The sequence below is a fragment of the Homo sapiens genome, chromosome Y, assembly GCF_000001405.40.
Source record: "Homo sapiens chromosome Y, GRCh38.p14 Primary Assembly".
Lineage (NCBI taxonomy): Eukaryota > Metazoa > Chordata > Mammalia > Primates > Hominidae > Homo > Homo sapiens.
This window is the reverse complement of record NC_000024.10, coordinates 9,799,741-9,815,765: the sequence shown is the minus strand read 5'-3', so window position 1 is coordinate 9,815,765 and position 16,025 is coordinate 9,799,741. Positions and strand designations below refer to the sequence as shown.

General features: G+C 42.7%; 1 long non-coding RNA gene across 1 annotated transcript; it reads right to left on the bottom strand.

Moving 5' to 3' along the window:
* Positions 1-2,520: 2,520 nt before the first annotated feature.
* On the bottom strand, positions 2,521-14,613 carry TTTY22 (testis expressed transcript, Y-linked 22). The gene is made up of 5 exons (NR_001539.1): positions 14,459-14,613; positions 10,881-10,992; positions 6,381-6,455; positions 5,657-5,695; positions 2,521-2,566 (listed from the first exon to the last, which is right to left on the bottom strand). It is a non-coding gene; the product is annotated as a testis expressed transcript, Y-linked 22 (long non-coding RNA).
* Between the last annotated feature and the right edge of the window lie 1,412 nt (positions 14,614-16,025).

The window sequence follows — 16,025 nt, the reverse complement described above, 5'->3', positions numbered from 1 at the left end:
GTTGGCACATACCCAGAAAAGAGATGTGAACAGAGTCTTTCAAAGTACTCTGTCAGATACATGTTAGATTATTCTCCAGCCATAGCAAAGGGAAATTAAATATCTGTTGTGTTTAGAATAGTCTTGATTGTTTGACTTTTCCAAGGTATTAGCATTCATGAAGTTGGCCTTTAAAGCTCTCTAAAATTACTCAAATCAGTAGACAACTCAGTTTTTCTAGGAGTCTAAAGTGCTTTTCAAAATTATCAGAAAGTTAGTGGCTTCAAACAATAATTATAATTTATTAACTCTCAGTCTCTAAAATCTTCCACAGTCTCTCAGCCAAATGATTGTGGTTCAGGGGCACTCAGGAGGATACAATCTAGTGATGGCTCAGGATGGGGACATTGCCAGGTGTCTTCTTATTTCCCTGGTGCCATGGCTAGCATAACTCAAATAGTGGAGGTTGGGCTGCTGAGATCCTCAGGCATCTCCTTTTATTTCTATGAGTCTCTCCATGGGATGTCCATTCTGCATAGTGTTATCAGGGTGTTAGACTTCATGATGTACTGGTCTGGGGCTCCTGAGGGGTTTGTCCCCATGACAGCAGGAGACTTAGGCAGAGCTGTGTCACCTTTTCTAGCCTAGGCCAGAGGTGGCCCAATATCCAGAAAATGCTTTCACTGTTTTCTATTAATTAGAAGCAAGTACTGTGTTCTGTCACATCAGGAATATTTTCAAATTGGTTTGCAAAGAATTTCAAAGTGTGTTTTAGATCATTACAGTGGCCATGCCTAATAATTACTTATTTTTATAAGTGTTGGATGGGTTTTACCCAATGTAATATCAGATACAGACTTTTAAGCTTGAAACCTGTGTCATAGCTCTGAACATTTGGTTGTATGTTGAAATAACTCTCAAGCAAAAATTGATTTTGAAATTAGCACTATAAATAAGTTAAATAAATGAGGTAAAGTCATAAATATCTGCATGAAATGCTTATAAACAGGTCAGCCTTAAAAATGTCATGAAGACTAATATGCCACCCTTTTATTATTTCTATGGATATTACTTGGACTGGAGGACAAGGACTCAGGGGTATGCTGGTCAATCTCTGCACCTGGAAACAGTGGCTGGGGCACCAGGAGTAATACTTTGAGCCATGACCATGTAGTGAGGACAAGGAGTCCATCTGGGTTAAGGAGAGTGTCACTGTATATATATATATATATATATAAACACACACTATATATAAAAACACTATATATATAACACTATATATATATATAAAGCACAATATCAGAAACTCAGTAGTCATAGTGAAATCAAAAAATAATCACAGTCAATTTGATCTCATACCTAGACTGAAATATGAAACTTCAAAAGAAAAGAATGTTAAGAACTTTCGGCTTGTCAAAATTTTCCTACATAGATAAAATTATTGGTGACTTTCTCTCACTAGAGAACATAAACAAAAATCGATGTTTTGTATATGTGTAAATGAAAATATTTTTATTTCTATCAGTTATGACATGCAAGTAATAAAGTGAAAGTACAATAATAAATAATAAATTATATAAGGAAATTTCTGTGTCAAAAAATTTCATTGACTATTAATTTTATAAAACCATAGAGAATGCTTCATGAAACTACATTATACAGTACTTTTTAGTATTTCACTTACATTTTAAATAATCAACAAATTAAAGGAAATTCTGAATCATTATTTCTTACCAATATCATTATTCTACTCAAGAAATTCTTCTGATATTAAATATTTTAAATAAAACATTAAAAACAAATTGTATTCACTGATATCAGCTTTTGATGAAATAATACTTCTGTATTTGTAATCATGTTAAATATATCTTTCTCCTCACAGTGGATCTTTTGTAACACCAGTGTTATTATTTTCTCTGATACAAACCCTGTGATATCTCAAGGCTTTACTGTGTCCATACATTACATACCTCCAGAGAGTAGGATTCAAAGAGATGGAAAAATTATATTTGTGACCAAATTCTAGGAAAGGGAATGATAAAATGGGAGAATAATTTCTAAATTTCTAACTGTTCATCAATGGATTTGGATATATTTAGGTATAGACAAATATTTGCACACTGCAAGTTTGCACATGTGTATTTAAATTTATATGAGATACCCATAATGTATGGGTTGTGTAATCTCTTAATTAATTCTCAATTTTACATGTGGCAAATTGATAAGAGTTTACCCTCATCAAATACGCAATTTGAAGTACTATACTCCATTTGATGTAAAGCCAATAAAATCTCTGTCAACATTCATTTCAATTAATCCAATAATGTTAACTGCTGATAACTTCATTCTCCCTGTCCCCTGTTAACAGCTGAAAGTTGATTCTCACCTTAATTCAGCACTCAGGGTGTCTTCTTCAAGAGACTGTCACCTTGCTTTGGATTGTGACCTCTGACTCCACCACTTTCTTCCTGTAGCAGTCCTACCTTTGTGTATTTAATGAACTTTGTACATCGTTAAAAAATAAAAACGCAGTGAAATGTCAGGCCATGCTGTGAAATGTTCCAGTGTTTCTATATCTCAAATTGAACTTTCATGTTATAGAAGATAAGAAAAACAATTCATTTATTAGTATTCAGTCCAATGCACCCTTTCTTATTAATACGCCAAACCTGTCCCTTCAAAGCACTGACATTCAAGCACAGCTAGACGTATCAAAATTTATTCTCAACAATAACCATTATGTTAATAACTGTTGCCCAGATCTGGACCCTGCCTGTGGAATCTTTGGTTGGAAATTGCTATTATGGGTCAAACTAAGAGAATGACTATTTTTTGGCATAATTACTGCTGTCATCTTCCTGAAAAATATCACGTTAGATGGTAGCTTTTAGTTAGATCCATTCTATTAATTTTTAATATCCATCATTTATGATATTGCACAAGTAAAGACCTTTGATAACTTAAATTGTTAGCTGAGAAGTGACTAAAGTAACTCACAACAATTCAGACATTCATTTACCTACTAGAAATGCCATACATCATTAACTTCCGCTGAAAACAAAGTTGAAAAATTACAAGTGCTAAATTGTTTACTAAAGTATGTATTTCAGGGTATTTTATAAAACTATCCATGCCATGTATGATGCTTCACCAGCAAGGATAAAGCTTTAGCATATATTAAAAATAATAGTCTTTGGTTCTTAATACGTCACTACATTTGTTGTCTTCATAGCCTCAGCACAAAAACATCCATGTATGTGACTTTCAGCTGAGTTGACTACCAGTTATTAGGATTTAAGTAAACAGAATAAAAATTTCAAAATTTGGTGACCAAATATGAGAAATCACACTCTCACCATAAGTAGTAATTATTCTCAAGTGTCACCGCAAATGCAAGATTGAAAGAAGAAATTAAGTCTAATATATCGCAATATTCTAAAATCTAAAATTTCGTCTTTGAGGTCTGGTGTTTCATGCCTGGAATTGCAGCTCTCTGGGAAGCTGAGAAGGGAGAACTGCTTCAAACCCAGAGTTTGACAGCAGCATAAGCAACACAGCAAGAACTATCTCTAAAATGTAACTAATTATTTAATTAGTTAAATTGGGCATGATGGCACACATCTGCTGTTCTACTTACTCAGGAGTTCACAGTTATAGTTAGCTGTGATCACACACTGCACTTCAGCCTGGGCCATGAGGCAAGACTTTTGCCTCTACAAAATGATTCAATATAAAAAACAAAATAAATTAAAATAAAAACATTTTCAGGTGTTTTTTGGAAGTTTGTATAATTGCTCCAAAAGTAGAGACATTGTGTAAATTTGAGCAGTCAATGGAGGAATGGGCAGTGAACATTGTTTATATTGTTTTCCAAAAATTAGGATAAATATATTAGAATATTATATATAAATAAAATATAAAAAGGTTATATATCTAATAACCTTTTATACAATAAATATTGACAAATGTCAAGCCATTGTGTTTATAGACTTCTCCTTCAAAATATTCATAGTTTAATTGGAGAATGAAGAAAAGAGCAATAATTGGAATGTACTCTGGCAAGCATTACTATATACACAGTTTAGTAACTTAGTTGGAGGGGAAAGAAGTTCTTAACTGGGTTTACAGGGGTGTGGAGAACCTTCTTAGGGCCGGAACAATTGGCTGCATCTGATAGGATACAAATTTGCAAGAATAATGTTTGGGAGAAAAACATTGTAGAGAAAAAACAAACATCCTTTCTGTAAATGATGGAAGTACCAACAGTGCATATGACGCCATCTGCTGAATGCTTAGACCTTTCTAGCTCAATAAATATTTCTTGAATGAATCCATGAGTGGAAGATATTGGGAAGAGGATTCTGGAAGGGATTTTCAAAATCCTATAAAGGAAAGGTAATTAGCCTGGACTTTGCAATTTTGCTTGCTTTTCTTTGTGATATTTTTATGTTCACAACCTCACAAGCTGTTTAACTTTTTGGTCTTTTCATAAACATCATGAATGAATCATTCCTGAGAGTAATTCTCTCTTGATCTCTTGATACTGTATTTGTCTCTGATACTCCTTTGTGGGAGGCCCTGGGTTTGCATGCCCACAGCTACATCACTCCCCTCTCCCTGCCACTGTTCTGTTTCATTTCATCTGCAGGTCCATTCTCATTGTCACGGGGCTCCTTCAGTGGGTTGTTGCTGGATGGGACTGCCTGTCACCACAGATCTTTTGGCTGCAAGAGGTTTCAGAGGGTAAAAAAGACTTTGGGTAGATTGGCTGAGCTCCTGGTTGTGGGTTGTGGACATGTCGTGGGGGATGAGCATGTTTGCATTTTGCAGGAGGATTTTGCATCCTCTGACAAGAAGCATCGAACATTCCTTGGACTCCAGCACAAGGCAGCTCGTTCTCTCAGGCCAGCACTGATTTTTCTTTGCTTTCCTAGAGATTCCACATTGTCCATCAACAGCACTACTGGACACTATTTTCAGGTTTGCAATCGCCACAGATGGCCTCTGAGATGCTGTTTCAACCTCATCTGCACCCAAGAGAGGCCAGTCCGAGGTGTGAGAACATTGATCCAACTTTGACTTGCCTTTTTCATGGTGCATGCCTTTCCCAGAGAGCCCCTGCAAGGCCCATGATGAAGGGAGGCAGTGAGGTCAAGAGCCCAGCCATCATTCACTGACACCTGCCTCTGGGGTCTCAGGTATGATTCTATCACCCAAAGAACCTTGAGCAACACACCAGACTATATTTCAATTTCCATGAGACCAGATTCTGGCACACAGCTTCTCAGGATTGGAGTCAGAAGAGCAGTTTCTAGTGATGACCTCACAGTCACAAAAGGCCTTTCTTTTCAGCAGTACCCGACCACCAAGACAGCTCGGAGGATCGCTGAGGTTGAGAGATTTAGGGTTTGGCAGTGGGTTTTCACAAGCAGCCTTTTTCCAAATACCAGGCCATCTCGGCCTTTAACAATATTCTCTGCTTAGGCAGGCTGATAGCTCTGACAACTGGGCTCCCGAGTCTGACTCACAAATGTGGATGTGCTAGTCTCAGAGCCCCAAGTCTGATTTTGAGCTCTGGCTAGTGTCACCATGAATGCCACAATTGCCTAGTGACAAGTCTCTGTGGCTTGCCAGAAAAGAATACCTCCGTGGAAGTGTGTCAGCGGTGGACTCTCACCTGTCTTTTTTGTGGGATCCACAGTATAGTCCCATGATCCTAGGAGAAAGCAGACGTGAGCCAGCCTGAAGAAACGTCAAGCAGAGCCCTAGGAATAAACTGCGACATCCCTAAAAATCCAAAAGAAGCTGCAGAATTTCCAAGGCTGGCCTAGATGTTGTAGTGGTGAGTCTTTTTGAAATTTACCCCACTGTGATGTCTAGGAGCAGCCTGTCTCTGTTTTCTGGGGTTGCTCTCTCTCAAGTGGGGCTTCCCACAGAATCACGCAGCATCAGGAGCTGCCAGGCTATGTGTTTCGGGGAGAGTGTTGTGAGTGTTGGATGTCTCTGTGTGTGTGGTATTTTGTGTTTGTGTGGGTGTGTGTCTGTCCCTGTAAGTGGAGACTGCTTAAAGGAATATGGCTAATGCCCTTCAGCACTTCTTTGTTTTGAATATCAAAACCGTTTAATGGCCTGTCTGTGTGGTTCTGCTCAGCTCTGGGGCTCCGTGTTCTCTATTTCTATGAAAATGATAAATCCCCAGTGAATTGGAAGGTGGGCCAAGACCGGCTGGCATCCAAATCACCTCCCCATGCAAATAATAGTAAGAAATAATAATAATAATCCTCTAGAAAGAAAAGGAGCACACCACTCTAAAAAAGTGACATCTGCCAGTGTTTCCTTGTCCTGAGTCCAACCCAGGGAGAGGTACTAGCAGTCTTGTCCGCAGGGACCGTTGAATTTACCTCGAATTTGGTTCACAGCTGAGTGGGTGCTTCATGTTGTGAGGTGACACTCCTCCATCGTCTTGGGATTTCATCCTGGAACATACGGTATGAGCACCAATAAGGTCAGATAAGGATGAGGATACAACCTGAGCCCCCACGAGACCACGACCCACAACTTGAAGTGCAGCCAGCCTACCTGAAGTCCCTATTGCTTTCTAAAACCCTTGGCAGCTAAATAATCTGTGATGAAAGACAGTCCCATCCCCCAACAGCCCAACAAAGCCCCTCTACAAACAGAAGGCCATGCAGATGAAATGAATCAGAGGCCAGATTACCAGTAAAAATCCAGACACTGCTGCCTGCTTCTCACTCAGCAGATATCATGCAGCACCCCCAATAGAAGTGATAGAACTAGAGTTTCCTTGTCGGTGGCTGTAACTCGAATTTACAATTTTAAAAGTATGAAAGCTGTCCAGCCATTAATACATTACAGTGGATAGAAGGAAATGCTTCCACAATGGATTCCTATGAGGGTCATTCTCCATGAACTGGGACACATTTAGTGTTGAAGTCATTTATCCAGACCCAGGAAACCCTAGGCCAACAAGGAACATGGAAGTCAGGAAAAGAAGAAGCAAGCGTGGAGGTCACATCCCAAGCAGCATGAATCCATTCCAGTCCCAGTTGGCTCCAGATATGAAAGCCCTCAAATCGGGTGTTTGCCAGGATGGCCCCAGTTTGCAATCCAAATATTTCTTGCACGTTGGAGTACTCCCACTCAAACACAGGGCTGCTGTGGATTAATTGTGCAATTGAGGGAACTCGGGGAAGAAGTTTGTCATACCTTTGGTGACATTTTTTTTTGGCAGGGGAAGTTGTGGGACCCCATCCACTCCTCTCCAGATTGTATTTACACTCTACTTGACCTTAGTGCTGCTCCCACTCCATGTCCCAGGGTGAAATCCCTAGACGATGGAGGAGGGCCAACTCATAACGTGAAGCACCAGCTCAGCTGGTAGCTGAATTTGAGGTAAGTACATGGGGCTTGGCAGACAAGACGGCTAGTGTCTCTTTGTGTGTTGGCATCAGCACAATGAAACACCAGTAGATGTCTGATATTTTGGTGTGGTGTGCTGCTCTTTTATTTATTTATTTATTGTTTATTTATTTATTTTTAGAAGAGTAGCTTTTTCTTGCAGGGGAAGGTGATTTGGACGCCGGCGGGTCTCCACCCACCTCTCAATTCAGTGTGAATTAATGACTCAAAGAAAATTAAGGAACACGGAGCCCTGCAGCCCGAGCAGAGCCACATAGACTAGTCACCAAAAGGTATGGAGACAAAAAAAAAAAAAAAAAAAAGAAGCACTGAAGCGAGGTAGACACAATCCTTTAAGCAGACTCCACTTACAGGCACACACACACACAAACACACAATGCCAGACACACACACACAGACATCAGACACTCACAACACTTACCCAAAAACACACAGTTCAGCAGCTCCTGACACTGCGTGGTTCTGCAGGAAAGAGCAACAATGCAACCATGGGGAACACCGGCAGGCTACACCTTGAAATCTCAATGGGGCAACTTTCAAAAAGACTCTACCCTACAATGTCTAGGCAGGCGTGAGGAAACCCGCAGATTGTTTTGAATCCTTAGGGATTTTGCTTTTTATTCTTGAGGTTATGCTTGAAGTTTCTTGAGGCTGGTTCAAGTCTGCCCTCTTCTAGATTCATGGAACCATCCCGTGAATTGCACAGAGAAGATAGGCAAGAGTCCACCGCCAACACATCTTCATGGAGGTCTCCTTCTCTGCCAAGCAGGAGGAACTGATGCTAGGCAATGGTGACATTTATTATGATGCTAACCAGAGCTCACAATCAGGCCTGGTGCTCTGAGACTTGCACCTGTGGGTTTGTGAGACAGACTCAGGTGACCGTCTAGCTGAGCTGTCAGCCTGACCTAAGCAGAGGAAAACAGTACAGGTAGAGCCGCCCTGGTATCGTGAAAAAAAAAAAAGTGCTTCCTGCCATTATGCACTGAAGGATGCTAAAATTCTCGACCTTAGGGCCCCTTCGGGATGTTTACGTATTCAGGCCATGCTGGAGGAGGAGGTGTTTCAATACTGTAAGGTGGTGGACAAACACTGCTCTTCTGACTCCATTTCTGAAAAGGGCTGCATGCAAGAATCAGATCCTATATGAATTGGAATATAGTCTGGTGAGTTGTTGAAGGGTTTTTGTGTGATGGAATTATACCTCAGACCCCAGAGGTGTGGATCAATAAAAGATGGCTGGGCCCTTGTCTTCATTGTCTCTCTGCATTTTGGGCCTCACAGGGGCTCTCTGGGAAACGTAGGAACCACAACAAAGGCAAGTCCAGGGTGGAACAGTGTTCTCATACATCAAACTGTGTTCTCATGGGTGCAGATGAGGTTGAGAAATTTTCTCAGAGGCTTTCTGTGGTGATTACAAGCCTGAAAAATGCCAATATTGTTGTTGAGGGGCAATGTGGACCCAGCATGAAAGCAAAGATAAATCAAGGCTCTCCTGACAGAATGAGTTGACTTGTGCTGGAGTCCAAGAAATGTTCAAAGATTCCTGTGAAAGCATCCAAAATTCTCCTGCAAAGTGCAAACAATCTCAGCCACCACAATGAGACAACAGTTCACAATATGGAGTGCAGCCAGCCTAACTGAAGTCCATTTTGCTCCCTGAAATCAGTGGCATCAAAAAGATGTGTGGTGAGAGGCAGCCCATCCAGCAACAGCCAAATGCAAGACCCCCTCCACAATAAAAAAGAACATGAAAATGAAAGGAAACAGCTAGATTACCAGGTAAAAGCCAGACACGGCTGCCTGCTTCTCATAGTACAGGAATCATGCAGCCCTTTGTTAGAAGTGGGAGAACAAATTTTCCCTGTTGCTGGCTCTAACAGAAATTTATGGTTTTAAAATTATCGCAGAAGACCGGTTATAAAAACATGACAGTGTTTAGAAGGAAACACGAAATGCACTTTAATGAGGGTCATTTTTCATGAACAGGGAAATGTTTAGTGTGGAAATCATTGAGCAAGACCCAGGAAAGCCTAGGCCAATGAGTAACCTGGAAGACAGGGAAAGAAGAGGCAAGTGTGGAGGCCACATCCCACCCAGCATCATTCCATCTCACTCTCCCATTTGGCTTCGGGTATTAAAGCCCTCAAATGGGAAGTGTGCCAGGTTGGCTCTAGTTTGCACTAAAAATGTTTCCTGCAAGTTGGAGTACTCCCACCTGAACACTGGGCCATGGTGTGGACTGCTTTTGCAACTAAGGGAATGTGGGGATGCAGTTTGAAGCACCTCTGTGTCCTCAGCCTTCACCTTTTTTGCTGGTGAGGATACAGGACCCCATCAACCACTCACCAGATTGTATTCTTACCCCTATCTGACCTTATTGCTGCTCACAGTCTCTGCCCCAGAAAGAAATCCAAAGACGATGGAGAAGTGCCCCCTGATGACATGAAGCACCTGCTCAGCTGGAAGCTGAATTTGAGAGAAATTCAATGGGCTCTGTGGACAGGACTGCTAGTGTCTCTCTCTGGATTGGCTGCATTACAAATGAAACACTGAGAGGTGTCTCTTCTTGGGTGTAATGTTCTCCTCTTTTTTTTTTTCCTAGAAGAGTGCCTTTTTTTTTGCAGGGGAAGATGATGGGGGCCCTGGCTGGTCACAACCAGCCTACCTATTCATCGCTGATTCATGATCCACAGAAACATAAAGAACAGGGAGCCCTGCAGCCCAAGAAGAGTCACACAGACAGGCCATCCAAAGGTTAAAACACTAAAAAATATAAAGCACCGCAGTGTGTTAGCCACATTGCTTTAAGCAGAAACCACTTACAGGCACACACACACAAATGCACAAAGCCACACACACCCACAGATATCCAACACTCACAACACTCCCACAGAAACACATAGCCTGGTAGCTTCTGAGGCTGCATTGTTCTGCAGGAAGCCCCAACTGAAAGAGAGCAACACCAGGAAACACAGGAGGTCTGAACCTAGAAACCACAGTGGGGCACATTTCAGTAAGTCTCACCCCTACAGCATCTAGGCCACCCTGAGGAATCCTGCAGATTTTTATGGATCCTTAGGAATTTTGTGGTTTATTTCTGGGGCGCTGCTTGACATTTCTTCAGACTGGCTCACATCTGCTCTCTCCTTGGATCATGGAATTATCCCATGGGTAAGACAGAGAAGATAGGTGAGGTTCCATCACTGACACACCTCCACAGAGGTCTCCTCCTCCACCAAACTGCAGGGACTTGTTGCTGAGCACAGGCCAAATTCATTGTGATGCTAACCACAGGTCACAGCTCAGGCCTGGTTCCCTGAGACTAGCACATGTGTGTTAGCAAGGTGGACTGAGCTGTCAGCCTGCCTAAGCAGAGGAAAATGGTATGGACAGAGCCGGCCTTGTATTGGGAAAAAGACTGACTGTAATAACCCACTGCAGGACCCTAAAAGTCTCACCTTAGGACTCCTATGACCATCACCATGGTTGGGTCACGCTGGAGGAAGAACCATTTCATGACTGTGAGGTTATCGCTGGAATATGCTCTTCTAACTCCATTCCCAAGAAGGGCTGTGTGCAAGAATCAAGTCCCACGTGGATTAGAATATAGTCTGGTGAGAAGTTGAGGGGTCTTTGGGTAATGGAATTATACCTGAGACCCCAGAGGCAATCTCAGGCACACACAAACACACACACACAATGTCACACACACACAAACATTTAACACTGCAAGGTGGAGTAGTGTTCTCACAAATCGGAATGTCCTCTCACGGGTGCAGAAGATGTTGAGACAGTGTTTCAGAGGCCCTCTGTGGTGATGGAAGCCTCAAAAGGGTATCCAGTAGTGCTGTTGAGAGGCACTGTGGACTCTCAATGAAAGCAAAGGAAAATCAAGGCTTGGCTGAGAATGAGGTGCCTAGTGCTGGAGTATAAGAAATGTTCAGTGATTCCTCTCAAAGGACCCAAAAGCCTCCTGCAAAGTGGAAATATCATCAGCTGGCACAAGGAGACAAGGACCCACAACCTGGAGTGCAACCAACTTTCCCGAAGTCCCTTTTCCTCTCTGAAATCCCTGGCAGCTCATAATCTGCAACAAGAGCCAGTCCCATCAAGCAACAACCCAATAAAAGAGTACCCCCCACAATAAGAAGGCAGTGCAGATAAAATAAAACAGAGGGTAGATTACCAGGTAATAACCAGACACAGCTGCCTGCTTCTCATCCTACAGGAATCATGCAACCCTTCAACGGAAGTGGGAGAAGTGTTTCCTTGTTGGCGGTTGTAACGGGAATTTATGGATTTAAAAGCATCAAAGCTATCCAGACATTAAAACATGACAGTGTTTAGGAGGAAACACTCACACATTGGATTCCCATGAGGGTTGTGCTCCATTAACTGGGAAATATTTAGTGTGGAAGTCCAGACCCAGGAAACCCTAGGCCAACAAGGAACATGAAAGTCAGGAAAAGAAGAGGCAAGGGAGGCCACATCCCACCCAGCATCAATCTATTCCACTCCCACTTGGCTCTGGGTATGAAAGAGGTCAAATCGGGAGTTTTCCAGGGTGGCGCCAATTTGAGCTCCAAATGTTGTTGCATGCTGGAGTACTGCCACCTGAACACTGGGCCACGGTATTGACTGCTTATGCAATTAAATGAATATGGGGATGGAGTTGGGAGCACTTTCTGTGTCATCTGTCTTCATTTTTTTCCAAGTATAGTTATGGGACCTCATCCATCTCTCACCAGATTGTATCCTCACCCCAATCTGACCCTGTTTCTGCTCACTCTGTCCCAGGATGATATTCCAAGAAAATGGAGGATTGCCCCCTCACGATATGAAGCCCCTGCTTATCTGGGATCTGAATCATAATCCAGAGAAAAATAAAGAATATGGGCCCTGCAGCTTAAGCAGAACCACACAGGTCGTGAAAAGATTGAGAAACTCAAAACAAAAAGAAGGGCTGAAGTGCATTAGCCACATTCTTTTAAGGAGACTCCACTTACGGGAACACACATACACACACACACACACACACACACACACACACACACACACACACAAACTCAGAATTCCACCTGCTGCAGGAAGAGGCTTTTTAAGACTGTGGGGTGGTTGCAGGCATTACTATTTGGACTCCATTCTCGAAAAAGGCTGTGTGCAAAAAATTGGGCCTCATGGAGAGACTATAGCCTGGTGTGTTGTTCAGAGTTCTTTGGGTGATAGAATCTTTCGTGAGACTGCAGAGGCAAGTGTCAGTGAAAGATGCCCGGGCTCTTAACCTCAATGCCTCCCTTCATCCTAGGCCTGGAAGGGGCTCTCTGGGAAAGGCAGGAACAGTGACAAAGGCAAGTTCATTGTGGAGCAGTGTTCTCACACCTCAGTCTGGCTTCTCACAGCCATCTGTGGAAATGGCAATCCTGAAAAGTATGTCTAGTAGTGTTGTTGAGGGGCACTGTGGATTTTTCATGAAAGTAAAGAAAAATCAAAACTCATGTGAAAGAATCTGCAGCATTTTACTGCGGTTAAAGCAATGTTCAATGATTTCTGTCAAAGGACCAAAAAGTGTCCTCCAATGTGCAAACAACCTCAGCTTCAACAATGAGACAACAACCCACAATCTGGAGCACAGCCAGCCTACCTGAAGTCATTTTTGCTTTCTGAAATTCCTGGCAGCTAAATAATTGTGATGAGAGGCAGTCCCATCCACCAACAGCCCGATGAAAGAACCCTTCCACAATGAGAAGGTTGTGCAGATGAAATGAAACAGAGGCTGGATTACCAGGCAAAAGCCAGACATGGTTGCCTCTTTCTCATCCCACAGGAATCATGCAGCCATCCAATAAAAGTGGGAGAACAAGAGTTTCCTTGTTAGCAGCTATAGCTGGAATTTATAGTTTTAAAACTATCAAAGCTGCCCAGTCTTTAAAACTTGACAGTATTTTGAAGGAAACAATCACACAATGGATTCCCACGTAGGTCGTTCTTCATGGAGCAGAAAACGTTTAGTATGGAAAATGGTGAGCCACACCCAGAAAACCCTAGGCTGACAAGGAACACCAAAATCATGAAAAGAAGAGGGAAGTGTGGAGGCCACATCCCACCCAGCATCAGTCCATCCAACTCCCATTTGACTATGGGTATGAAATCCCTCAACTTGGGAGTTTGCCAGGATGGCCCAATTTTGCATCTGAAATGTTCCCTACATATTGGAGAACTCCCACATGAACACTGTGCCATGTTGTAAACTGCTTGAGAAATGAAAGAAATGCTGTGGTGCTGTTGGAAGCAACTTTTGTGTCAACTATCTTCACATTTTTTGCAGGTGAATGTGTGGGTCTCTTTCCACCCCTCATCAGATTGTATCCCAACCCCTATTTAACCTTGTTGTTGTTCACATTCTCTATCCCAAAATGAAACCACAAGATGATGAAAGAGTAACCCCTCATGACCTGAAGCACCTGCTAGGCTGGGAAATGAATTCGAAGTAAATTGAAGGTGGACATGACTATTAGTGTCTCTCTATGGGTTGGCCCCAGGACAATGAAACACTGGAAGATGTCTCTTTGTGTTTGTGGTGTGCTTCTCTTCTTTCTAGAAGAGTGGCTGTTTTACAGATGAGAGTAATTTGGATTCCGGCAGGTCTGAGCCAGCATCCCAATTCACTGCAGATTCAAACTCCACAAAATGATAAAGAAAAGGATGGACAGCAGCCCAAGCAGAGCCACAGACAGGCCAACAAAATGTTGGAAGACTGAAAAAAAAAAAAGTGCTGCAGTGCATTAGCCACATTGCTTTAAGCAGATTCTACTTATAGGTGCACACACACACACACACACACACACACACACACACACAAAGCCACACACATACACAGACATTCAACATTCACATTACTTTCATAGAAACACACATCCTGGCAGCTTCTGAGGCTGCGTGGCTCTGCACGAAGCCCCATCTGGGAGATAGCAACTCCGGGCAACACAAATGGGCTGTACCTAGAAATCACAGTGGGGCAAATTTCAAAAAGACTCACCCTTACAATGTCTAGGCAGGTCTGATGCATCCTGCAAATCTTTTTGAATCGTTAGGAATTCCACAGTTTATTCCTGGGGCTCTGCTTGATGTTTCTTTAGGCAGGCTAATGTCTGTCCTCTCCTAGAACTATGGGAATATCCTGTGGACCCCACACAGAAGAAGGCAAGAATCCATGGTCTGTGCACCTCCACGAAGGGCTACTTCTCTACCTTATGGCAGGGACTTGTCGCTAGGCAATGGTGGCATTCATTGTGATGCTAGCCAGAGCTCACAGCTCAGGCCTGGTGCCCTGAGACTAGTGCATTGCATTGGTGAGGCAGGCTCTGGTGTCCTGTTGTCAGAGCTGTCAGCCTTCCTAAACAGAGGAAAATATTATAGGCAGTAGTGGCCTGATGTCAAAAAAAATGATGCCTCTGATAAACTCTGCAAAACTCTAAAAGTCTCAGCATTACCGCACCTTCAGGCAGTCTTTCTGGTCAGGTCCCACTGAACAAGGCAGTGTTTTGAGACTGTGAGGTGGTCCATGGAAACGATATTCAGACTCCATTCCTGAAAGAGGCTGTGTCAAAGAATCTTTGCCCATGGGGATTGGAATATAGTCTGATCAGAGGTTGAGGGGTCTTTGGATGATGGAATCATACCTGAGATTCCAGAGGTGGGTGTTAGGAAAAGATGGTCATGCCTTCGACCTTGATGCTTCCCTTCATTTTGGCCCTTGCAGTCCTGTCTCAGAAAGGTAGGAACCACAACACAGCAAGTCCAAGATGAAGCAGTGTTCTTACACCTCGGACTCTCTTCTCACAGGTGCAGAAGAGGTTCAGACAGTGTCTTCAAGGCCAACTGTGGTGATTACAAGCCTGAAAAGGCTGTCCAGTAGTGCTATTGAGAGGCACTGTGGATTCTCCATGAGAATAAAGATAAATCAAGGCTCAACTGCTAGAATGAGCTGCCTTGTGTTGGAGTCAAAGCAACATTCAAAGATTCCTGTCAGCACACAAAAAGCCTTCTCCAATTTGCAAAAAACCCAGCCTCCAAAAACAGACCTGACCCACAACCTGGAGTGCTGCCAGCCTACTCAAAATCCCTTTTGCTCCTTGAAATCTTTGGCAGTGAAAAGATCTGCGGTGAGAGGCAGTCTCATCCAGCAACAACCCAATGAATGTCACACACAGTGAGAAAGGATGTGCAGATGCAATAAAATATATTCTAGACTCCCACTCAAAAGCCAGTGGGGCTGCCTGTTTCTCATCCTATAGGAATTATGCAGCCCTCCAATGTAACTGGGTGAACAAGTTTCCTTGTTGACTGAAGTAATGGGAATTTATGGTTTTAAAAGTATCACAGCTGCCCAGTCATTAAAACATGACAGTGTTTAGAAGGAATCACTCTTGCAATGGATTCCCATGAGGGTTGTTTGCAATTAACTGAAAAATTTTAAGTATGGAAGACGTTGAGGCAGACCCAGGATACCCTAGGATGATGAGAAACATGGAAGTCAGAAAAAGAAAAGGGAAGTATGGAGTCCACCTGCCACCAAGCATCAACCCATCCCACTCCTATTTGGC